Here is a 25,647-nt window from a genome sequence, read left to right on the forward strand (position 1 = left end):
ATATTCTGGTTCGGGAATGGGTAGATTTCTGATGTGGTTTAGTAGGTATATAAATCCCGTGAGCTTCTTGCATCTAATTTCTCTGATCCTGCTTACACTGATATTTAAAGTAGGTTTTGACATACTCCATCACTTAATGTTGATAAAGGATGTTTATATTCTTCTTAGTTCGTTTTATTTATGTGTTAGCTTTAAAGACATTTTCTTTGACGGAAAGTGAAGTAACAAAATAATAGTCGAATAGTTCTGCCGTGTCTCTAATTTGTTGATATTTTCCATGTACTTGAAACATGTATGGTACACCTCTTCTTTTTCCTTCTCTGAACAATGGCTAGAAAAAAAACCCTACTTCTTTCTGTCATTTACTGTGAGGCATTACTGAATCTGGGTGTATTCATGTATGCTGCTACCTGTATGTTTTCAAACAATAAGAATTCATTGAAACATATAAGACATTATACTTTCTCTTCTCCAGTATTGGATTATAGACTGCACTTAGTTTTCCGGAATGAAGTACAGACAAAGCCATAACGCGTGTACAACTACACATTGTCCTATAATATTGTCTGATAAAAAACAGTGTAGAAATATTCTGACAGGGAAATAGCAAATGTATTAATTTAACTTACCTTGCAATCTCTCTTAATGGAGCCTTATCACCAGTGTAAGAAATAACGTCTGGGTGTGAATACGTACACAGTATAAGGTAAACTTTGGTGAAGTCGTCAATTCTTTTGTCATTGCTTCCCCCTTCACACCCAAAGTGTAGCACTTGACATGGAATCTTTCTTTCTTCATAAATCAGTCATTCATTTGGAATTCTGCATTGTTGTATGTAGAAAAACGATATTTTCCCTTCTGTAATATTGTTGTTATATTGGGAATTATATTTCTTTGTAATTTTAAAAAGTGGTTTACCATATTCATTTTTTTCTGCCAACCTTTCTTTTCAGGCATTTCCTGCTTATCCAAGTTCACCATTTCAGGTCACCACTGGATATCAGTTGCCTGTATATAATTATCAGGTAATGTAAGAAGGAGTAAAATTATTTGCTTTCAGGTATTATTGAGGCCTTTAACTTGTTTATACAAATTTCCGGAATAGTTGGTCATTTTAAACTAGTGAAGTGTACCTAAAATTTAAGGAAACACTTAGAATTAGTGTAGAATGAAGACCTCTGTCTTATTGAGAAGTAATGAAGTCGAATTTTGACAGGAATATACTTGGGAATAACTTTCCTGTAGAACAGATTTCTGAGATTTGGTGTCCCATTCTTCATTTCTGGATGTAGTTTTCATCTTTACTGTCAAATAACTGAATGAAACATCCAAACTGACTTTCATGAATTTTCTTAGGGAGATAGAGTGAAATAAAATTATGACCCACTTTTCAGAGCACAGAATTCCAACTATATTTTCATTTTAGCTGGCTGTTTCACGATAGCAATTCTCTGGGTCTCTTTTCACAGATACAAGTATATCTATGCCCAATAATTATATCTATGGTAATAAACTGAAAGAGCTAGTATCTTTGAGGTTTCCACATTGCCAACTCCCGAAAATGTGGAGAAGGGTGAAGTTTCTAATATAAAAGTAAGAAGAATGTCATGGAGTAGAAACATAAAGTACTCAAGTTTTCCTTTCTGTTACTTGTATTATAATAAAAAAGGAGACAGCAGGATAAGTGCTTCAATATTGTGTTTCTCATGTGTTTTTGAAAATGTGTAGGAATATTTTAATAGTTTTGGTTTCCTTTTTTTTTTTTTTTTAAGATGCCACCATAGGGGCCTGTTGGGGAGCAAAGGGATTATGTTTTCCTTGATGTTAAGTGAATTAGCCAAACATAGACTTCCTGTTCATTCTTGGTTTTTTTCCACGTCGTATATGCCTATTACTATTTTTAAGTGATTTTTATATCAATGTTTTAGTTTATTTTTTTACTTTCTTGTTAACCCGATTATAAACTCCCATGGGAGCAACAGTGCCTTTTTTGCCCTGAGGTTTTTATTTGCTTAAGCAATGGCAGGTCCACTTAATGATAGACCATATCATCAAAGAAAGGTAGTATTCATGTGGCTTTTGAATTAGCATGCATCTGCGTAGATTCTGCCTCTGGCTTTACCAGCAACAGAAAATTTGTAGAACAGAGACAGAAATGCTTTGCTGTTAATTGCGCTTAAATAAGAATAGGAGTAAACGAGAGTATTACCTCCAAAGCACCAGAGCTGCTTTCCTCCTTATAACCAGTTCCTAAAGTGAATGAAAGCAGCTCTCCTTATGTGTCTGCCTACTTCATTCTTCGGTAAGTTTAACAGTTCATCTAGCTACCCTTTATTTGAAATGATTTCCAGATGCCTCCTCATATAAATTGCTGACTTCTGGATATATTCTGGTTCGGGAATGGGTAGATTTCTGATGTGGTTTAGTAGGTATATAAATCCCGTGAGCTTCTTGCATCTAATTTCTCTGATCCTGCTTACACTGATATTTAAAGTAGGTTTTGACATACTCCATCACTTAATGTTGATAAAGGACGTTTATATTCTTCTTAGTTCGTTTTATTTATGTGTTAGCTTTAAAGACATTTTCTTTGACGGAAAGTGAAGTAACAAAATAATAGTCGAATAGTTCTGCCGTGTCTCTAATTTGTTGATATTTTCCATGTACTTGAAACATGTATGGTACACCTCTTCTTTTTCCTTCTCTGAACAATGGCTAGAAAAAAAACCCTACTTCTTTCTGTCATTTACTGTGAGGCATTACTGAATCTGGGTGTATTCATGTATGCTGCTACCTGTATGTTTTCAAACAATAAGAATTCATTGAAACATATAAGACATTATACTTTCTCTTCTCCAGTATTGGATTATAGACTGCACTTAGTTTTCCGGAATGAAGTACAGACAAAGCCATAACGCGTGTACAACTACACATTGTCCTATAATATTGTCTGATAAAAAACAGTGTAGAAATATTCTGACAGGGAAATAGCAAATGTATTAATTTAACTTACCTTGCAATCTCTCTTAATGGAGCCTTATCACCAGTGTAAGAAATAACGTCTGGGTGTGAATACGTACACAGTATAAGGTAAACTTTGGTGAAGTCGTCAATTCTTTTGTCATTGCTTCCCCCTTCACACCCAAAGTGTAGCACTTGACATGGAATCTTTCTTTCTTCATAAATCAGTCATTCATTTGGAATTCTGCATTGTTGTATGTAGAAAAACGATATTTTCCCTTCTGTAATATTGTTGTTATATTGGGAATTATATTTCTTTGTAATTTTAAAAAGTGGTTTACCATATTCATTTTTTTCTGCCAACCTTTCTTTTCAGGCATTTCCTGCTTATCCAAGTTCACCATTTCAGGTCACCACTGGATATCAGTTGCCTGTATATAATTATCAGGTAATGTAAGAAGGAGTAAAATTATTTGCTTTCAGGTATTATTGAGGCCTTTAACTTGTTTATACAAATTTCCGGAATAGTTGGTCATTTTAAACTAGTGAAGTGTACCTAAAATTTAAGGAAACACTTAGAATTAGTGTAGAATGAAGACCTCTGTCTTATTGAGAAGTAATGAAGTCGAATTTTGACAGGAATATACTTGGGAATAACTTTCCTGTAGAACAGATTTCTGAGATTTGGTGTCCCATTCTTCATTTCTGGATGTAGTTTTCATCTTTACTGTCAAATAACTGAATGAAACATCCAAACTGACTTTCATGAATTTTCTTAGGGAGATAGAGTGAAATAAAATTATGACCCACTTTTCAGAGCACAGAATTCCAACTATATTTTCATTTTAGCTGGCTGTTTCACGATAGCAATTCTCTGGGTCTCTTTTCACAGATACAAGTACATCTATGCCCAATAATTATATCTATGGTAATAAACTGAAAGAGCTAGTATCTTTGAGGTTTCCACATTGCCAACTCCCGAAAATGTGGAGAAGGGTGAAGTTTCTAATATAAAAGTAAGAAGAATGTCATGGAGTAGAAACATAAAGTACTCAAGTTTTCCTTTCTGTTACTTGTATTATAATAAAAAAGGAGACAGCAGGATAAGTGCTTCAATATTGTGTTTCTCATGTGTTTTTGAAAATGTGTAGGAATATTTTAATAGTTTTGGTTTCCTTTCTTTTTTTTTTTTTAAGATGCCACCATAGGGGCCTGTTGGGGAGCAAAGGGATTATGTTTTCCTTGATGTTAAGTGAATTAGCCAAACATAGACTTCCTGTTCATTCTTGGTTTTTTTCCACGTCGTATATGCCTATTACTATTTTTAAGTGATTTTTATATCAATGTTTTAGTTTATTTTTTTACTTTCTTGTTAACCCGATTATAAACTCCCATGGGAGCAACAGTGCCTTTTTTGCCCTGAGGTTTTTATTTGCTTAAGCCATGGCAGGTCCACTTAATGATAGACCATATCATCAAAGAAAGGTAGTATTCATGTGGCTTTTGAATTAGCATGCATCTGCGTAGATTCTGCCTCTGGCTTTACCAGCAACAGAAAATTTGTAGAACAGAGACAGAAATGCTTTGCTGTTAATTGCGCTTAAATAAGAATAGGAGTAAACGAGAGTATTACCTCCAAAGCACCAGAGCTGCTTTCCTCCTTATAACCAGTTCCTAAAGTGAATGAAAGCAGCTCTCCTTATGTGTCTGCCTACTTCATTCTTCGGTAAGTTTAACAGTTCATCTAGCTACCCTTTATTTGAAATGATTTCCAGATGCCTCCTCATATAAATTGCTGACTTCTGGATATATTCTGGTTCGGGAATGGGTAGATTTCTGATGTGGTTTAGTAGGTATATAAATCCCGTGAGCTTCTTGCATCTAATTTCTCTGATCCTGCTTACACTGATATTTAAAGTAGGTTTTGACATACTCCATCACTTAATGTTGATAAAGGACGTTTATATTCTTCTTAGTTCGTTTTATTTATGTGTTAGCTTTAAAGACATTTTCTTTGACGGAAAGTGAAGTAACAAAATAATAGTCGAATAGTTCTGCCGTGTCTCTAATTTGTTGATATTTTCCATGTACTTGAAACATGTATGGTACACCTCTTCTTTTTCCTTCTCTGAACAATGGCTAGAAAAAAAACCCTACTTCTTTCTGTCATTTACTGTGAGGCATTACTGAATCTGGGTGTATTCATGTATGCTGCTACCTGTATGTTTTCAAACAATAAGAATTTATTGAAACTTATAAGACATTATACTTTCTCTTCTCCAGTATTGGATTATAGACTGCACTTAGTTTTCTGGAATGAAGTACAGACAAAGCCATAACGCGTGTACAACTACACATTGTCCTATAATATTGTCTGATAAAAAACAGTGTAGAAATATTCTGACAGGGAAATAGCAAATGTATTAATTTAACTTACCTTGCAATCTCTCTTAATGGAGCCTTATCACCAGTGTAAGAAAGAACGTCTGGGTGTGAATACGTACACAGTATAAGGTAAACTTTGGTGAAGTCGTCAATTCTTTTGTCATTTCTTCCCCCTTCACACCCAAAGTGTAGCACTTGACATGGAATCTTTCTTTCTTCATAAATCAGTCATTCATTTGGAATTCTGCATTGTTGTATGTAGAAAAACGATATTTTCCCTTCTGTAATATTGTTGTTATATTGGGAATTATATTTCTTTGTAATTTTAAAAAGTGGTTTACCATATTCATTTTTTTCTGCCAACCTTTCTTTTCAGGCATTTCCTGCTTATCCAAGTTCACCATTTCAGGTCACCACTGGATATCAGTTGCCTGTATATAATTATCAGGTAATGTAAGAAGGAGTAAAATTATTTGCTTTCAGGTATTATTGAGGCCTTTAACTTGTTTATACAAATTTCCGGAATAGTTGGTCATTTTAAACTAGTGAAGTGTACCTAAAATTTAAGGAAACACTTAGAATTAGTGTAGAATGAAGACCTCTGTCTTATTGAGAAGTAATGAAGTCGAATTTTGACAGGAATATACTTGGGAATAACTTTCCTGTAGAACAGATTTCTGAGATTTGGTGTCCCATTCTTCATTTCTGGATGTAGTTTTCATCTTTACTGTCAAATAACTGAATGAAACATCCAAACTGACTTTCATGAATTTTCTTAGGGAGATAGAGTGAAATAAAATTATGACCCACTTTTCAGAGCACAGAATTCCAACTATATTTTCATTTTAGCTGGCTGTTTCACGATAGCAATTCTCTGGGTCTCTTTTCACAGATACAAGTACATCTATGCCCAATAATTATATCTATGGTAATAAACTGAAAGAGCTAGTATCTTTGAGGTTTCCACATTGCCAACTCCCGAAAATGTGGAGAAGGGTGAAGTTTCTAATATAAAAGTAAGAAGAATGTCATGGAGTAGAAACATAAAGTACTCAAGTTTTCCTTTCTGTTACTTGTATTATAATAAAAAAGGAGACAGCAGGATAAGTGCTTCAATATTGTGTTTCTCATGTGTTTTTGAAAATGTGTAGGAATATTTTAATAGTTTTGGTTTCCTTTTTTTTTTTTTTTTTAAGATGCCACCATAGGGGCCTGTTGGGGAGCAAAGGGATTATGTTTTCCTTGATGTTAAGTGAATTAGCCAAACATAGACTTCCTGTTCATTCTTGGTTTTTTTCCACGTCGTATATGCCTATTACTATTTTTAAGTGATTTTTATATCAATGTTTTAGTTTATTTTTTTACTTTCTTGTTAACCCGATTATAAACTCCCATGGGAGCAACAGTGCCTTTTTTGCCCTGAGGTTTTTATTTGCTTAAGCAATGGCAGGTCCACTTAATGATAGACCATATCATCAAAGAAAGGTAGTATTCATGTGGCTTTTGAATTAGCATGCATCTGCGTAGATTCTGCCTCTGGCTTTACCAGCAACAGAAAATTTGTAGAACAGAGACAGAAATGCTTTGCTGTTAATTGCGCTTAAATAAGAATAGGAGTAAACGAGAGTATTACCTCCAAAGCACCAGAGCTGCTTTCCTCCTTATAACCAGTTCCTAAAGTGAATGAAAGCAGCTCTCCTTATGTGTCTGCCTACTTCATTCTTCGGTAAGTTTAACAGTTCATCTAGCTACCCTTTATTTGAAATGATTTCCAGATGCCTCCTCATATAAATTGCTGACTTCTGGATATATTCTGGTTCGGGAATGGGTAGATTTCTGATGTGGTTTAGTAGGTATATAAATCCCGTGAGCTTCTTGCATCTAATTTCTCTGATCCTGCTTACACTGATATTTAAAGTAGGTTTTGACATACTCCATCACTTAATGTTGATAAAGGACGTTTATATTCTTCTTAGTTCGTTTTATTTATGTGTTAGCTTTAAAGACATTTTCTTTGACGGAAAATGAAGTAACAAAATAATAGTCCAATAGTTCTGCAGTGTCTCTAATTTGTTGATGTTTTCCATGTACTTGAAACATGTGTGGTATACCTCTTCTTTTTCCTTCTCTGAACAATGGCTGGAAAAAAAGCCCTACTTGTTTCTGTCATTTACTGTGCGGCATTACTGAATCAGGGCATATTCATGTATGCTGCTACCTGTATGTTTTCAAACAATAAGAATTCATTGAAACATATAAGACATTATACTTTCTCTTCTCCAGTATTGGATTATAGACTGCACTTAGTTTTTTGGAATGAAGTACAAACATAGCACTAATATCTATAGAACTACATATTACCCTTTAATATTGTCTGATACAAAACAGTCTAGAAATATTCTGACATTGAAATAGCAAATGTATAAATTTAACTTACATTGCAATCTGTCTTAATGGAGCCTTATCACCGGTGTAAGAAAGAATTTCTGGGTGTGAATAAGTACACAGTATAAGGTAAACTTTGGTGAAATAGTCAATTCTTTTGTCATTTGTTCCCCCTTCACACCCAAAGTGTGGCACATGACATAGACTATTTCTTTCTTCATAAAGTCAGTCATTCATTTAGAATTCTGCATTGTTGTATGTAGAAAAATGATATTTTAACGTTTTTAATATTTTTGTTACATTGGGAATGATATTTCTTTCTAATTTTAAAAAATGGTTTACCATATTCTTTTTTTTCTGCCACCTTTCTTTTCAGGCATTTCCTGCTTATCCAAATTCAGCAGTTCAGGTCACCACTGGATATCAGTTCCATGTATACAATTACCAGGTAATGTAAGAAGGAATGAAATGATTTGCTTTCAGGTATTATTGAGGCCTTTAACTTGTTTATACAAATTTCCTGAATAGTTGGTCATTTTAAACTAGTGAAGTGTACCTAATATTTAAGGAAACACTTAGAATTAGTGTAGAATGAAGACCTCTGTCTGATTTAGAAGTAATGAAGTAATATTTTGACAGGAATGTACTTGGCAATAACTTTTCTGTAGAACAGTTTTCTGAGATTTGACCCTTCTATATTTCAGGATATAGTTTTCATCTTTGCTGTCAAATAGCTGAATGAAACCTCCAGAATGACTTTCATGAATTTTTTAGGGATATAGAGTAAATAAAATTATTACCCAATTCTTAGAGCACATAATTCAAATTATAGTTTCATTTAGTAGGCTGTTTCCCGACAATTGTTGTCTGGTTCTCTTTTCATAGTAGAGAGGACTCTATCTATGACCAATAATCATATGTAGCATAATAAGTTCAAAGTAGTAACATCTTTGAGATTTCCACAATGCCAAATCCAAAAATTGGGGAAAAGGTGTGGTTTCGTATTTGTATGTGGAAGTAACAACAAGAATGTCAGGAATTAGAACCATAAAGTACTTCTTTTTTTCCATTGTCTTTCTTTTATTATAATAACAAAGGAGCCAGCATAGGTACTTCAATATTTTATATATCATTTGTTTTTGAAAATGTTTATGAATATTTGAATAATTTTGTTTTCCTATTTTTTTTTTAAGATGCCACCGCAGTGCCCTGTTGGGGAGCAAAGGAGGTAGGTTGTACCTCTGGTAAAGTGAATTAGCCTACCATGTACTTCTGTTCTTTCTGGATTATTTTCCATATCATTTATGCCTTATAAATATTTTAAATGATTCTTTATATTAATGTGTTACATTTTGTTACTTTCTTTTTAACCCAGTTACAATCTCCCATGGGTGCAACAGTGCCTTTTTCTCTCTCAGGTTTTTGTGTGCTTAAGGAGTGGCTGGTCCACATAATAAGTGTTCAGTTACTTGTTGATAGACTGTGTAATCTAAGAAAGATAGTATTAATGTCACTTTAGAATTAGCATGTATCTGCGTAGGGTCTGCCTCTGGTTTTACCAGCCACAAAAAATTTGTTGAAGAGAAACAGAAATGTTTTGCTGTTAATTACTCTTAAATAAGAATAGGAATAAAAAAAGAGTATTACCTCTAAAATACCTGAACTTCTTTCCCCCATTATACCTAGTTCTGAAAACATTTGAAAGCAGCTGTTCTAATGTTTCTGCCTAGTTTATTCTTTAAGGATAGCGATTAATCTAGCTCTTCTTTACTTGCAATGATTTCCAGTTGACTCCTCATATAAACTGCTGACTTCGGGATATATTCTCGGTCTGGAATGTATAGATTTCTGACCTATTTTACTGTACCTATAAATCCTGTGAATTTCTGGCATGTAATTTCTCTGATCCTGATTACTTTGATATTTAAAGTAGGATTTGACATACTCTATCACTTATTGGTGATAAATAACGTCTGTTTTCTTCTTAGTCCATTTTATTTATGTGTTAGTTTAAAAGACATTTTCTTTGATGGAAAATAAAGTAACAAAATAGTAGTGAAATAGTTCTTCAGTGTCTCTCATTTATTGACATTTTCTGTGTACTTGAAATGTGTAGGATATACCTCTTCTTCTTTTTTCTTCTCTGAACAATGGCTAGAGACAAAGCCCTACTTGTTTCTAACATTTACGGTGAGCCATTACTGAATTTGGGTGTATTCATGTATGCTGCTTCCTATATGTTTTCAAACAATAAGTATTTATCGAAACATATAAGACATCGTACTGTCCTTCTCCAGTTTTGGATTGTACACTGCCCTTAGTTTTTCGAAATGAAGTACAGAAAAAAAACATAACATCTGTAGGAGAACTACATATTACCCTGTAATATTGTCAAACACAAAACTATCTGGAAGTATATTGACAAAGAAATAGCAAATGTATTAACTTAACTTACATTGAGATCTGTCTTAATGGAGCCTTACCAGCAGTGTAAGAAACAACTTCTGGGTGGGCATAAGTACACAGTGTCAGTAAGGTGAACTTTGCCTGGTGAAATAGTCACTACTTTGTCATTTGTGTGTTCCCCCGCCCCACCCAAAGGGGCTTAGCACTTGACAGAGAATATTTATTTCTTCCTGAAGTCATTCATTCATTTAGAATTCTGCATTGTTTTATATAGAAAATTAATAAATATTTTAAAGTTTTTCATTTTTTTTATTTTGGGAATAATATTTTTTTCTAATTTAAAAAGATGTTTTACCATATTCATTCTTTCTGTAAACTTACTTTCAGACATATCCTACTTATCCAAATTCACCAGGTCAGGTCACCACTGGGTGTCAGTTGCCTGTATGTAATTATCAGGTAATTGAAGAGGGAGTAAAATGATTTGTTTTCAGATATTATTGAAGCCTTTAACTTGTTTATATGAATTTCCCAAATAGTGTGTCATTTTAAACTAGTGAAATGTACCTAAAATTTAGGAAAACACTTGCAATGGTCTAGAATGAAGCCCTCTGTATTATTTAGAAGTAATGAATTAACATTTTGACAGGGATATACTTAGCAATAACTTTTCTGTAAAACAGTTTTCTGAGATTCGTTGTCCCCTTCTATATTTCAGCGTGTATTTTTTCATCTTTTTCATCTTTTTATCATCCCATTCTTAGAGCACAGAATTCCAATTATATTTTTATTTTAAGCTTGCTGCTTCATGATAGTAGTTCTCTGGGCCTCTTTTCATAGATATGACTACATCTGTGACCCATAATCATATCTATGGTGATAAGTAATAAATTGAAAAAACTAGTATCCTTGAGATTTCCACAATGCCAACTCCAGAAAATTGGGAAAATGGCGAGGTTTTATGTATAAAAGTAACAAGAACATCAGGGATTAGAAACATAAAGTACTTCTTTTTTTTTTTTTACTCTGTTTCTTTCACTTTAATAACAAATGAGCCAGCATGATAAGTGCTTCAATATTGTGTATCTCATGAGTTTTTGAAAATGTGTAGGAATATTTTAATAGTTTTGGTTTCCTTCTTTTTATTTTTTTAAGGTGCTACCGCAGTGGCCTGTTGGGGAGCAAAAGGGGTTATGGAGTAAAGTGAATTAGTGAAACGTATACTTCCTCATCTTTCTTGACTTTTTTCTATGCCATATATGCCTGTAGATATTTTTAAATGGTTCTTTATATTAATGTTTTATGTTTTGTTACTTTATTTTTAACCCAATTATAAACTCCCATGGGAGCAACAGTGCCTTTTTGTCTCTCACATTTTTGTGTGCTGAAACAGTGGCTGGTCCACATAATGATAAGTGTTCAGTTACTTGTTGATAGATTATATAATCCAGGAATGGCGGTATTAACTGGCTTTAGAATTAGCATGTATCTGCCTAGAATATGCCTCTGGCTTTACTAGCCATAAAACATTTGTTGAGGAGAAACCGAAATGTTTTGCTATTAATTACTCTTAAAGAGGAATAGGAATAAAACAAGAGTATTACCTCTAATACAACAGAGCTGCTGTCTTACATCACGATTGGATATTTGAAGGATATAGTAAGTGTTAAAATTCTCAAACACTCCCTTAACTACATTTGTTTCTTAGAATCCTTCTACCTCTGATTATGTTGATACCTGGAAGACGTTTTAAAACAAAAGGCTGCCTTAATGCATTTCAACTTTTCGTTTAAAACAAGGTTTCTGAAGTAACACAATTGAATTTCAACACAACCTACATTGAAACTTTTGATACCAGCTCACCTTTTTGAGGAATAAATAAGTAGCTTTTAAACGTATCTGTATTATCTGTTTAATTACACTTTCATTATTTTAAATATAGGCTTATTCAGCTCTTAACTGTCACTGTAGTGAAGTTGATACAGGAGGTGATGTTGTGCTAAATGAATGCTCAATTCATGAAGCTACCCCACCCTCTGGAAATGGCCCACAAAAGGCAAACATCTAATTTTGAATTTTTTTTACAATATATATTTCATATTTTTTTCTAATTTGAATGACTTTTTTTGAGAAGCAAACATTTTTGCCCAAATTTAAAAATGTTAGCCATAAATCATGGAGCTTAAATAATGGACTGATAGTCAGCAGTTAATGTAAAGGTTGTTGAAATTTCAGATACCCCAAATTTTCAGTATATACCTAAAGTTTCTGATTCAGCAAGTCCTTTCCTGTATTTCAGTTTCACTAATTTTAAAAAGCCATTCTTTAATAAATACTGTATTAATATGATTTGGCAGAATGCTATGGGAGGGTTTCCTCTAGAATTCTACTCAAAAGAAGAATTAGTACGAATTGTATGTCCCTTTTCTTTTACAACAGTTTTGATCTTAAGCAGTGAAAAATACCATTTAAATAAGCATTCTCTCCATAACATTATATGTGGCAGAAGTTTCCAACAGTGGTGAAGTCAGTAGTAATTATTCAAACACTGAAATAGACAGGGTTGTTTCTTTTTTTTATCATTAGTGCAAATTTCTGTAATAACAGTACTGTCACTCCTGGCGTCACATATGTTCTGTTAGATAGGTGGGCGTGTGGAAGTAGTTGATGTGCTGGTAATATGTATAATACCCAAGAAGTCCCATTGCAGTGTAAATTCCTTGATTTGATATTGGATTTTAAAATGTGAATAAATATGAAAACATAACTCTTACAGTATAATTGTCTGGTTTTGTTCTGAGTATGTTTTCTTGAAACATTGGAATTCACTTAGGGATTTAACAAATTCAGCTTTTTAAACCAGTATTCTATCGCTAAGGTTCTAAAATAATTCTTCGATTTGTCAGAAAACGTACATACTGAGGATATGTGGCAGGAATTATGAATCACATTTTTATGAATTTCTTTTTTTTTTGAGACAGGGTCTTGCGGTGTCGCCCAGGCTGGAAGTGCAGTGGTGTGATCTCGGCTCACTGCAACTTCTGTCTCCTAGGTTCCAGTAATTCTCCCTGCCTCAGCCTCCCCAATAGGTGGAATTACAGGCACCCGTCACCCAGCTAATTTTTGTATTTTTTAGTGGAGAAGGGGTTTCGCCATGTTGGCCAGGATAGTCTTGAACTCCTGATATCAGGTGATGCGTCCTCCTCGGCCTCCCAAAGTGCTGGGATTAGAGGTGTGAGCCACTGCTCCCAGCCTCTTTTAGCATTTTTGCATTTCTTTGGAAATAAACTGATATGTTCATTAAACCATCAAAAGAAAAACCAAAACACACCCTTATTAAGAGTGAGTGAAAGAAAGAGTTGTCTTTACATTACTGAAAACTTCTGTGTTTCAGAAATCTGTGGACCGAAGCATACAAATGGTGGTATCTTGTCTGTTTAATCCAGAGAAGAGACTGATAAATTCCGTTGTTACTCAAGATGACTGCTTCAAGGTATGAAAGGAATGGCATGCATAATTAAAAAGCACACTTGTTCCCTCTCAAGTTAGCTGTTTTCCTTGTGGCACATGTATTTTGGGCTTTCTTAGAGGAATTTTTTTTCTTTTTTTTTTGTTTTGAGACGGAGTCTCCTCTGTCGCCCAGGCTGGAGTGCAGTGAGTGGCCCCATCTAGGCTCACTGCAAGCTCCACCTCCCAGGTTTACTTAACGCCATTCTCCTGCCTCAGCCTTCCGAGTAGCTGGGACTACAGGCGCCCACCACCACGCCCAGCTAATTTTTTGTATTTTTAGTAGAGACGGGGTTTCACCGTGTTAGCCAGGATGGTCTCGATCTCCTGACCTCGTGATCCACCTGCCTCAGCCTCCCAAAGTGCTGGGATTACAGGCATGAGCCACCGTGCCCGGCCTAGAACATTTAATTGAACTGTTGGCATTTGACTGTAACCCAGTAAACCAGTGTGGGTTTTACCTGGCAGTATATTTTCTGCTGCCGAGCCTTGATATAATGTAGTCAAATTTAGGGAAGAATCCTGCAGCAGAAATTTGTAATTGAAAGGGTTTACTAGAGAAGAGAGTTAGTTGACTACCTTGACCAAATAGTAAAATAAAATTTTAGATACAGAAAGGAGATCTTGGCTGGGTGCAGAGGCTCACGCCTGTAATCCCAACACTTTGGGGGGCTGAGGTGGGTGGATTGCTTGAGCTCAGGAGTTCGAGGCCACCCTGGGTAACAAGGCAAAACACCATCTCTACAAAAAAATACAAAAATCAGCCAGTTGTGATGGTACATGCCTGTAGTGCCAACTACTCCAGAGGAGTCTGAGGCAGGAGGATCGCTTGAGCCTGGGAAGTTGAGGCTGCACTGAGCCATGATTGTGCCGTTGTAGTCCAGCCTGGGCAACAGAGTGAGAGACCTTGTCTCAAAAAAAAAAAAAAAAAAAAAAAAAAAAAAAAAAAAAGTAGAACTTAATACATGCATATTGGACTAAAGAGAAGAAAAGAAATGATTTACTCAGATGATACACCTGAACAGTGTGAAGGGAGAAAAGGGGTAAAATGAAGCAGTAAAAAGTTGAGTAGAAAGAGAGGTTGATTCAGAGTTGGTGAAGCGGAAGAGAATGTGGCTAGTTGAATTCCAGAAAGATCTGACTTCTGATCCCACTTTCTATCCATGTTGGATAGATAAATCTTTTATTAAGGCTCTAATTCTTACAAGTCTAAAATGAGAAGGTACAGGACTAAAGGTTTCTGGGTCCCTGTGGTTCTAAGTCTATAAATACGAAAAAGAACTAACTTGGTCAGTCCGGTGGGAGAAAAATATTATGGTTAATAAAGGGAAGGTGTTTTTTAAATAACAATTTTATTAAAATAATACCAGTAATACAATTTATGTATTTAAAATGTGCACTTCACTGTTTTTTCATATATTCAAAGTTGTGCAACCATGTCCACAATCAATTTTAGAATACTTAAATCACCTCAAAAATCACCCCCGTACCTTAGCAGTCACCTGCTATTTTCCTGGAACTTGTGTGTATCCCTAGGCAAACACTAATTTACTTTTTTCCTCTAAGGATTTTCCTGTCCTGGAGATTTCTTGTATATGGAATCATACATAATGATGTGGCATTTTGTGACTGGATTTTTTCACTCAGCATAATGTTTGTAAGGTTCATCAATATTCTAGCACGTATCAGAACTTAATCATTTCTTTTTATTTGTAGATATTACCTTATTCTGTTTATGCATTCATCTGTTAAAGACATTTGGATTATTTCCACTTTTTAGCTGTTATAACTAATGCTGTGAACATTCATGTACAAGTTACTGTGGGGACATACGTGCTTACCTCTCTTGCGTATATACTTGGGAATGGAATTGCTAAGTCATATTTAACCTTTAGTGGAACTGCCAGATTTGTCAAAACTGGCTACACACTTTACATTCAAAAGAAAATGTTTAACCATCACTTTGTGTCTTACAACAGAACTAGCTTATTTTTGTCTGTGAATGGATATGGGATGAAGCCTAAGCCTTTTTAAAGGGTTATATTATGAATCTTCTGTATAATGTAGAAGAGTAGAGCCAGATAGCAGAATTAAGTTCTTAACATCTTTGCAACATGGAGTAAATATATTTAAATTTGACATTTGTTCTCTTGTTGCTTCGTTCTATATAGATAGTACAATTTAGAAAAGAAAGAACTGGAATTGTACATCAGCTTATCTTGCCGAAAATTCTGATTACATTGGTGTCTACAGTAGTACTTAAGTGATTTTCAAAGCAGAAGATAGTTTTTTGTGTTTCTTTCTTTCTTTCTTTTTTTTTTTTTTGAGGTGACCTCATTTGGTCATCCAGGCTGGAGTGCAGTGTCGCAATCACAGCTTACTACAACCTCAAACTCCTGCACTCAAGGGATCCTTCTGCCTCAGCGTCCCAAATAGGACGACAGACGTGCACCACCACACTTAGCTAGTTAAAAAGAAATTTTTTTTTTTTTTTTTGAGACAGAGTCCCACTGTGTCACCCAGGTTGGAGTGCAGTGGTGCGATCTTGGCTCACTGCAAGTTCTGCCTCCCAGGTTCATGCCATTCTCCTGCCTCAGCCTCCCGAGTGGCTGGGACTACAGGTGCCTGCCACCACGCCCAGCTAATTTTTTGTGTTTTTAGTAGAGATGGGGTTTCATCGTGTTAGCCAGGATGGTCTCGATCTCCTGACCTTGTGATCTGCCCGCCTCGGCCTCCCAAATTGCTGGGATTACAGGTGTGAGCCACCGTGCCCAGCCAAAAGATTTTTTTTTAAGAGAGAATCTTACTATATTGCCCTGGCTCGTCTTGAACTCCTGGGCTCAAGTGATCCTCCTGCCTCAGCCTCCCAAAGTGCTGGGATTACAGGCGTATGCCACCATGTCCAGCCCAGAAAATATTTTTTTAAACTTGAGTTCTCACCTGGTGGTAGACAAAAGACTCGCTTTGAAACTTCCAGAGTTTTCTGCTTATTTGGGAGAGGAATCAGAAGTTGGCATCCTGCAGTTGTCTGACATTTAGACCTATTTTAATTGACTGCACGTTGTTATATTGAATTAGAATGCCTGAGATATTTTTGAATGTATTTACAATTTCCATAGCCGATTTCTCTTCATTGTCTTAGTTATCTAGCCCTTTCACAATCTTGTTTCCTACATGACCTCTGAATATACATGTTGGTGACCAGTTTTCTAGATTTTAACCTAAATTGATTATCACTCTTTTGACAGATGAGGTAACTTCCAGAAGCCACTTTTATTTATATGAAAATGAAACTGAAGTCTTAAAAAAAGGGCACAGCTTTGTAGAAAAGGAAATGTTATTACTCGTTCACTCATTCCCATTCCTCCTTGTAAGACCTCTCACTTCTCTCTGCACGTCTGCAGGCAACATAGAGTGAAAAGAAAGTTTTGCATGTATTTTAAAGTTTTATCTTCCTTTCTAAAGAATGATATGTCTTCACAGGTTAATGATATGTTCTTCAAATGCCAAAACTTACATATTTTAATCTAAAAACACGAAATTTCAGATTGGAGAGCAGTTCGCAAGCTGTAGTTGGTATTAAATGCAGTTCAATTAGTGAAAAAAGTATTCTTTACAATTACATTTTCTACCAGCTGTCTTTGGGACATTACTGCAAAATTATTAACTAAGAAGTACATAAAATGATACTGAGTTTAAGTCCTTTTATTTCTCAGTTTACTGGAATTTGTTTTATTTAATTATTGATTTCTTTTTTTAACTGTTTAATAAAACTAGCCATCTTGGTACATTTGTTATCCCAGTGTTCAAATATGCTTCCTGAAAAGAATCATCTTTTTTTCTCATTATTTATAATGTTTAAACCCAAAACAAATGGTTTAAGTTTTGACAACTTTCAGATCCATAGTAGTCATCAGAAATTTTCAGTAAAATAAAAGGACTATTTCTGTCTTTTCCAGGGTAAAAGAGTGCATCGCTTTAGAAGAAGTTTGGCAGTATTTAAATCTGTTGGATCCTCTCAGCTATCTAGTTTCATGGGAAGTTGCTGGTTTTGAATATTAAGCTAAAAGTTTTCCACTATTACAGAAATTCTGAATTTTGGTAAATCACACTGAAACTTTCTGTATAACTTGTATTATTAGACTCTCTAGTTTTATCTTAACACTGAAACTGTTCTTCATTAGATGTTTATTTAGAACCTGGTTCTGTGTTTAATATATAGTTTAAAGTAACAAATAATCGAGACTGAAAGAATGTTAAGATTTATCTGCAAGGATTTTTAAAAAATTGAAACTTGCATTTTAAGTGTTTAAAAGCAAATACTGACTTTCAAAAAAGTTTTTAAAACCTGATTTGAAAGCTAACAATTTTGATAGTCTGAACACAAGCATTTCACTTCTCCAAGAAGTACCTGTGAACAGTACAATATTTCAGTATTGAGCTTTGCATTTATGATTTATCTAGAAATTTACCTCAAAAGCAGAATTTTTAAAACTGCATTTTTAATCAGTGGAACTCAATGTATAGTTAGCTTTATTGAAGTCTTATCCAAACCCAGTAAAACAGATTCTAAGCAAACAGTCCAATCAGTGAGTCATAATGTTTATTCAAAGTATTTTATCTTTTATCTAGAATCCACATATGTATGTCCAATTTGATTGGGATAGTAGTTAGGATAACTAAAATTCTGGGCCTAATTTTTTAAAGAATCCAAGACAAACTAAACTTTACTGGGTATATAACCTTCTCAATGAGTTACCATTCTTTTTTATAAAAAAAATTGTTCCTTGAAATGCTAAACTTAATGGCTGTATGTGAAATTTGCAAAATACTGGTATTAAAGAACGCTGCAGCTTTTTTATGTCACTCAAAGGTTAATCGGAGTATCTGAAAGGAATTGTTTTTATAAAAACATTGAAGTATTAGTTACTTGCTATAAATAGATTTTTATTTTTGTTTTTTAGCCTGTTATATTTCCTTCTGTAAAATAAAATATGTCCAGAAGAGGCATGTTGTTTCTAGATTAGGTAGTGTCCTCATTTTATATTGTGACCACACAGCTAGAGCACCAGAGCCCTTTTGCTATACTCACAGTCTTGTTTTCCCAGCCTCTTTTACTAGTCTTTCAGGAGGTTTGCTCTTAGAACTGGTGATGTAAAGAATGGAAGTAGCTGTATGAGCAGTTCAAAGGCCAAGCCGTGGAATGGTAGCAATGGGATATAATACCTTTCTAAGGGAAACATTTGTATCAGTATCATTTGATCTGCCATGGACATGTGTTTAAAGTGGCTTTCTGGCCCTTCTTTCAATGGCTTCTTCCCTAAAACGTGGAGACTCTAAGTTAATGTCGTTACTATGGGCCATATTACTAATGCCCACTGGGGTCTATGATTTCTCAAAATTTTCATTCGGAATCCGAAGGATACAGTCTTTAAACTTTAGAATTCCCAAGAAGGCTTTATTACACCTCAGAAATTGAAAGCACCATGACTTTGTCCATTAAAAAATTATCCATAGTTTTTTTAGTGCTTTTAACATTCCGACATACATCATTCTGTGATTAAATCTCCAGATTTCTGTAAATGATACCTACATTCTAAAGAGTTAATTCTAATTATTCCGATATGACCTTAAGGAAAAGTAAAGGAATAAATTTTTGTCTTTGTTGAAGTATTTAATAGAGTAAGGTAAAGAAGATATTAAGTCCCTTTCAAAATGGAAAATTAATTCTAAACTGAGAAAAATGTTCCTACTACCTATTGCTGATACTGTCTTTGCATAAATGAATAAAAATAAACTTTTTTTCTTCAAATGTGTTTTTGGCTTTCCGATGTAATAATGTAAAATGGTGGGGAGTTGCGTGGGAACTGTGTAACAAGGTTTAAATTCGTATAACAAGCTTTAGATTCTTAAAATGCAGAAGTATAAAGTTCAGTATACTAATCTGTCTGAGTTAGCCCATAAAAGCAAATGTAGGTACAAAGATAAGTTTAAGAGGTGCATCAACAGCAGTGCAGACTAGGAATGCTGATGAACACATCCGACTCTGCTATCTCACGGCTAAGGTCCCTCACATTTTGGACCCTATGAAGCATTTTGTCTACTGTACACTTTGGGCCTAGTCTCTAGATCATTTATTTCGGGGTATTGCAGTTGCCTAAGGGAGCTTAATTTTTTTATATTGCAGGTACTTCCTGTGGATACCATAAAAAAAAAAATCAGTACCGCTTCTTCTAGCTTTAGTGTTAGTACTCAGTTCTATAAGCTGAGTCCAGTGGAGAGGAAACTCCTCAGACACGTATTTCATTAGTTAGTAAGCTTGCTGATTCATAACCAGAAAGTTGACTCCAAGGATACGCAGGATAGCAAACAGTGCTTTCTGCATCACCAAAGATTAAATTGTGATGTTTAGTGTCCAATAATAGGCAAAAAATTAGTAATTCTTTTATGTGCCTATGTGTATATATGTGTACATATGTGTCTATATATGCATATATTTATGGTTATGTACATACTAACGATTATCCAGAATATTTGGTTCTAGCTGATCAAGCTAGTAGGTTTTCAGTATTTTCAGACCCCAAAACTAGACTACATATGGTTTAAGATAGTTGCTTTACACCAGCTTGTTTCTAGTTTCCTATTAAATTATTACCACAAAAATCTTTGGAATTGAAAAATAACAGTTAAGCACTTTTTTGTAAAAAGTTCAAGTTATGGTGAAATCAAGCAGCTCTAAAAAGGTTGGTCACTTCCTTAAGTGTATTCTGCATGTTGGTTTTTTTCTTTTTCTAAAATCAGATTACCTTTAATTCAAAATAACTTCAGAATTGGTAGTACCTGTCTGGCAAGGAAGTCATTGACTCTTAAAAATAAATACTCCACAGCATTTCCCTCTCGTTATAAAGCACCTCTAGCCCCCTCTTCACTAAATTTTTCTTGGCTTTTTTTTAAAGGTAAACTGATAAAAATGGGCTGCCACATTGCTTAATCGCCTTGCCTGCTTTCCTTGCTGTCAGTTGAGGGTAATGAGGAGCAGCAACGATAAGGCAGCGTGCCACCTTGCTTTCACAAAGATGCCAATAGAGAAAGTGGGGAAACATAAGGGAGAAAAAAGTAGCAGTATTTTACATTGACCAAGTCTTGTGAATGGGCCAGCTATTGAGTATGATCATTTGGAATCCCTAGATAAGGATTGCTCCTGTACATATTTTGATAAGTGTAATCTATCCCTTCCCAACATGTGTAGTATGTCTCTGTATGTAACTGATTGTTGTGAGCAATTCCTTGCCACTCACCAAAGACAGAACTTTCCATCTGTAGACAGTACATTTTGTAGTAGAAAACAATAGACATAAGAAGTTCAAACTATAAACATGTTTTTGAATGCTCATGCAAGATAATCTGCATAGCAAAGAAATAATAGACAATTCAACATTGCATTTAGAGTTAAAAACATCTGTCCAGTATGGATGTAGCTGTGGGCCAATCCTAAGTAAACGCAAAAAAAAAAAAAAAAAAAAAATTGTCTCTTGGTACAGAAGTTGAAACTACCACTCTACCACTGTACAATTAAACTCTATGGTCGCTGTATTTTACGTTTTTAACTGGTCTGAAACAGTTCTCTAGTTAAGTCTGTAGTTCGTTTTCCCAAGACAAGGCTTTGTATCTTACGTGCACCTTCATTAATGCTGCATGCCAGGAATTCCACATGAAACTTCAAGATGCCGGTTCACTAGGTCTTTTCCACATGAAACTTCAAGATACCGGTTCACTAGGTCTTTAACAATAGAACAAATACTTGCATGACTGGGATATTCAGGTCATGAACACTCCTTATAAATTTGAAGCAATAGTAACATTTTAAGCACTTTGGAAAATTGGAGGTTTCATAACCCTCAATCAGATCTTTTTATAGAATAACAAAAATACACTAAGGTTCTAATCACATCTATTGTCTTTGCCCAAAATAACATGGATAGAGACACACTCCATTCTGGCTCAATCTTAGATGAAACTCCAGAAGAAAGGCAGTTGATAATGATACAGCCAGGCCAGCTGTTTAAGTGGACGTGTCCCCTCTGCCCTTGTACATTTGTTTAAAAATTTTGATAGGACTCTTCCCGCCTCCTTCACACCCTCCATAAATCTGACTAGGCCCATAAGAATGGAGAGAGGTAATTTAAAAGGCAGAGGACATTTTTCTCCTTGTTTTTACCTATGCTGATCCCCTACCTGGTGTTGGAGCAGCTTCACTGTGAGTAAAATCTGAACAGTGTTTAAGCAGTAAACCCACTATATTGAGGAAAGCGTGACCTGCACTTTTTTTTTTTTTTTTTTCCTGAACATGACTTGGTTGTTGCTCATCATTTTGGTTGGTGATGGGTCTTTGACAAACCGATATGCTCACCATCCAAAGTTGTGTCCATGTTTAGATCAGCGCAGTATTCGATAGGGCACGTTTCCTCAAGATACCAATTTTACAGGGAAGTCAAAGAGCATCAGAGCTATCATAAGGGGTGTTTTTCAGAAGCCAAATCCTGGGCCCCATTCTCAGATGCTCTTATTCTAATGCTCTGGATGGGCCCAGTAATCTGCATTTTTAACATGTGCCCCAGGTGATTCTGACCACTGTAACATACTTTGAGAAATATGGCCTCAGTTGGGGAGCTCTCATTAGATCATCTCAAGCTACCCCTGGATTTAGGATAGAAACAGCCCTGTCAGGTCAACTATGACTTTCATAAAGGATTCCGTTGGCTTAATTCACCGAATTCATCTTTCCCTGCCAAGCCCGTGCCTGGGAATGCCAGCTGTCCACAGGCAAGAGTGACTCATGAATGGGCTGAAATAGATTGAATAGAAAGTTTGAAAACCAAGACTTGTGGCCAGAAATCAGTGACAGGAGGGAGTGACTACAGAGGCAAAGCTGGATTCCAAGGCCAAGAGCAGGCAAGCCAAGGGTGAGGGACTAGGCTCGAGTGGGAAAGGGCAGAGTGGATATCCTGGGGACAGAGACACTGTGTTTGCCTCCTGGAGTGAAGAACTATGCCTTTGACTCACTTGACACACTTTACAAATAGTATTACCCATGGTTTTTAGAAAAGTATGGCCTGTCATTGCTCCTTTTCCTGCTGTGGAATTAACTAATACCTCTTAACACCTTTAAGCAAGAATGATAATAACAGATCAATATCAAAAAAATATGTTGAGATCAAGTTCCAGAGACAGCCTTAGGCATTTGATATCCATATTCTTTTTGTATATGTCTGTGTTTTAAAATTTCACATTTAGTTCACTCAAAAGTATAAAAATATTTATTTAAAGAATAATAAATACCCAAGTTGGCTTGAGAAATAGAACATTTCATTAATTAAAAAATATGCCCTCCCTGATCACACCCTCTTCCTCCCCAAGAAGAAGAAACCACCTAAATTGAATTTTGGTTTAATCATCTGCTGAATAAAATGTTTCTTTTCACAATATTTTGAACTTTAAGAGAACATATACTGAAACTATTTTTTTTTTTTTTTTTTTGGCACATTGTTAGACTCATCCGTGTTGACTGGGAGATTCTATTTATTTTCACTGCTTTTTAGTTGTATCAGTTGAATATTTTACGGTTTGTTATTTCCCTTGCTGGGGGACAATTGACTTTTATTTTTTGTTTTAAAATTTTAAATGTAAATTGTGTTGATTCGTTGATTGCTGTTACAAACTATGCTCCTACGAACATTGTTAAATGCCTCTGATCACTTAGGTACTAGAATGTCATAAAAAAGAGTGAACTTTAAATCCCAGCCCCAAATACTTCCTGAGTAAGCTTGGACGAGCTTCTCACTGAGTCTTGGTTTCCTCCTCTGTAAAACAACAATACTAGTATCTACTTTATAGTGTTACTATGAGATTATTTGGGGCAACACATCAATGTGGTTAGCTTCCCATCCACAGATCTACCCACCTGCATCCCACTCAAACCCACCTAAGTTTTCTGCAGCCTTTACATTTCAGTAACTAGAACTTCCCACGTGGTCTGTGTATAGAGCAGCCATGGTTTGGTGAATGACTGTGTCCTGAAATGTAGTCTTTTGCGTATCTTCTTTGGTAGTAGGAAACAGCTCATTATGCTAGGCTCTTCAGGATATTTTCTAGAATAGTTCCCTTTTTTCTGAGAGGGCCTTGAATGAGTAGAACACTAACAAATGAGTGAAATAATGGTACATAGGCCAGCATTCCCTAAGCACAATTTCTGTTTTTCCTTCATGAAATGCTGGAGGTGGCAGGCAGGATTTCATATCCCATTCTTCTCATCACATGCATACTCCCTGAAATTTGTATAGGATTTTAGGGTTTTCAGAGCTACTTCGTATATATGATTTCGTTTGGTCTTCGTCAACTCCTTTGAAGTGCTAGACATGTCTAGGTTTTAGGTGTGATTTTCTTAAATTTACACACCCTGGGATTCAGATAAATAAGAAACTGAGACTTGACATCTGGGCCATTGCTTTTTATACTATCTCATAGATAGCAGACTCTCCAAATCAAAATACAGAAATATTTTTACTAATACATAATAATTATACACATTTATGGGATATCTGTGACAATTTCATGCTTCCATGCAATGTGTGGTGATCAAAACAGGGTAACTGGGATATCCATCACCTCAAACATTTATCATTTCTTTGTGTGGGGAGCATTTTCTACCTATTTGGAACTACACAATAAATTATTGTTAACTATAGTCACCCTCCTGTGCTGTCAAACACTAGAACTTATTCCTTCTAACTGTATTTTTGTATCCAGTAAACAACCTCCCTTAATTCCCGTCCCCCAACCCCAACACTCACTCTCTATAGCCTCTGTTAACTACTGTTCTACACTTTACCTCCATGAGATCAATTATTTTGGCTCCCACATATGAGTGAGAATAAAGACATTTGTCTTTCTGTGCCTGGTTTATTTCACTTAAAATAATGTCCTTGGTTCCATCCGTGTTGCTGCAAATGACCGGACCTCATCCTTTTTAACGGCTCAATAGTACTCCATTGTGTAGATGTACCACATTTTCTTTATGCATTCATCTGTTGACGGATACTTAGGCTGGTTCCAAATCTTGGATATTGTGAACAGTACTGCAATAAACGTGAGAGTGCAGAGATCTCTTCAACATGCCATGCTGTTTTTGTTACTCCTACAGTTTTGCAGTACATTTTGAAATTCGCTAGCGTGATGCCTTCAGCTTTATTCTTTTGACTCAGTATTGCTTTCGCTACTTGGAGTCTTTTGTGGTTCCATAGAATTTTATGATTTTTTTTTCTAATTTCTATGAAGAAGTATTTGGCATTTTCACGGGGATTGCATGAAATCTGTAGATCACTTTTGGCAGAATTGGTTATTTTAACAATATTAATTCTTCCAACCTGTGAACATGGGGTTGGGGTGTCTTTCTACTTTTTTGTGTAATCTTTAATTTATTTTGTAAGTTTTTTAATAGTTTTCCTTGTAGAGGTTTTTATCTCATTGGTTAAATTTATTCCTAGATACTTTATTTTATTTTTTATACCTATTATAAACGGGATTGCTTTCTTGATTATTTTTTCCTGCTGGCTGCTTGTTGGTACACAGAAAGTCTAGTGGTTTTTGTATATTAATTTTGTGTACTGCAAATTTACTGAATTCACTTATCACTTCTGAAAGTTTTTTTGGTGGAGTTTTAAGGGTTTTGTGTCTGCAAACAAATTTACTGAATTCATTTATGACTACTGAAAGTTTTTTGGTGGAGTTTTAAAGGTTTTATATCTGCAAACAGGGACAATTTGACTTCTTCCTTTCCAATCTGGATGCTCTTTTTTTTCCCTTGCCTAATTGCTGTGGCTAGAACTTCTGGTACTATGCTGAATAAAAGTTGTGAAGTGGATATTTTTGTCTCTTCCGTATGTTAGAGGAAATCCTTTGAATTTTTCCCTGTTCAGTATGATGTTGGTTGTGGGTTTATTATAT

The 25,647-nt window shown here is 35.2% G+C and overlaps 1 protein-coding gene across 3 annotated transcripts in view; it reads left to right on the plus strand.

The window, feature by feature from the left end:
* DAZ4 (deleted in azoospermia 4) overlaps positions 1–19,460 on the plus strand; it is a 73,221-nt gene extending 53,761 nt beyond the window's left edge. For 2 of the 3 annotated variants that reach the window (NM_001005375.3, NM_020420.4), the window contains 4 exons: positions 8,108–8,179; positions 8,925–8,959; positions 13,532–13,630; positions 17,604–19,460. In NM_001005375.3, coding sequence (NP_001005375.1) covers positions 8,108–8,179; positions 8,925–8,959; positions 13,532–13,595 — 171 coding nt within the window. In that variant the 3' untranslated portion in view covers positions 13,596–13,630; positions 17,604–19,460. Of the gene's footprint in view, positions 1–953; positions 1,026–3,337; positions 3,410–5,722; positions 5,795–8,107; positions 8,180–8,924; positions 8,960–13,531; positions 13,631–17,603 lie in introns of all 3 variants that reach the window. The other variant, NM_001388484.1, reaches the window with a different exon arrangement.
* Positions 19,461–25,647: the final 6,187 nt, after the last annotated feature.

This window comes from Homo sapiens, chromosome Y (genome assembly GCF_000001405.40).
Source record: "Homo sapiens chromosome Y, GRCh38.p14 Primary Assembly".
Lineage (NCBI taxonomy): Eukaryota > Metazoa > Chordata > Mammalia > Primates > Hominidae > Homo > Homo sapiens.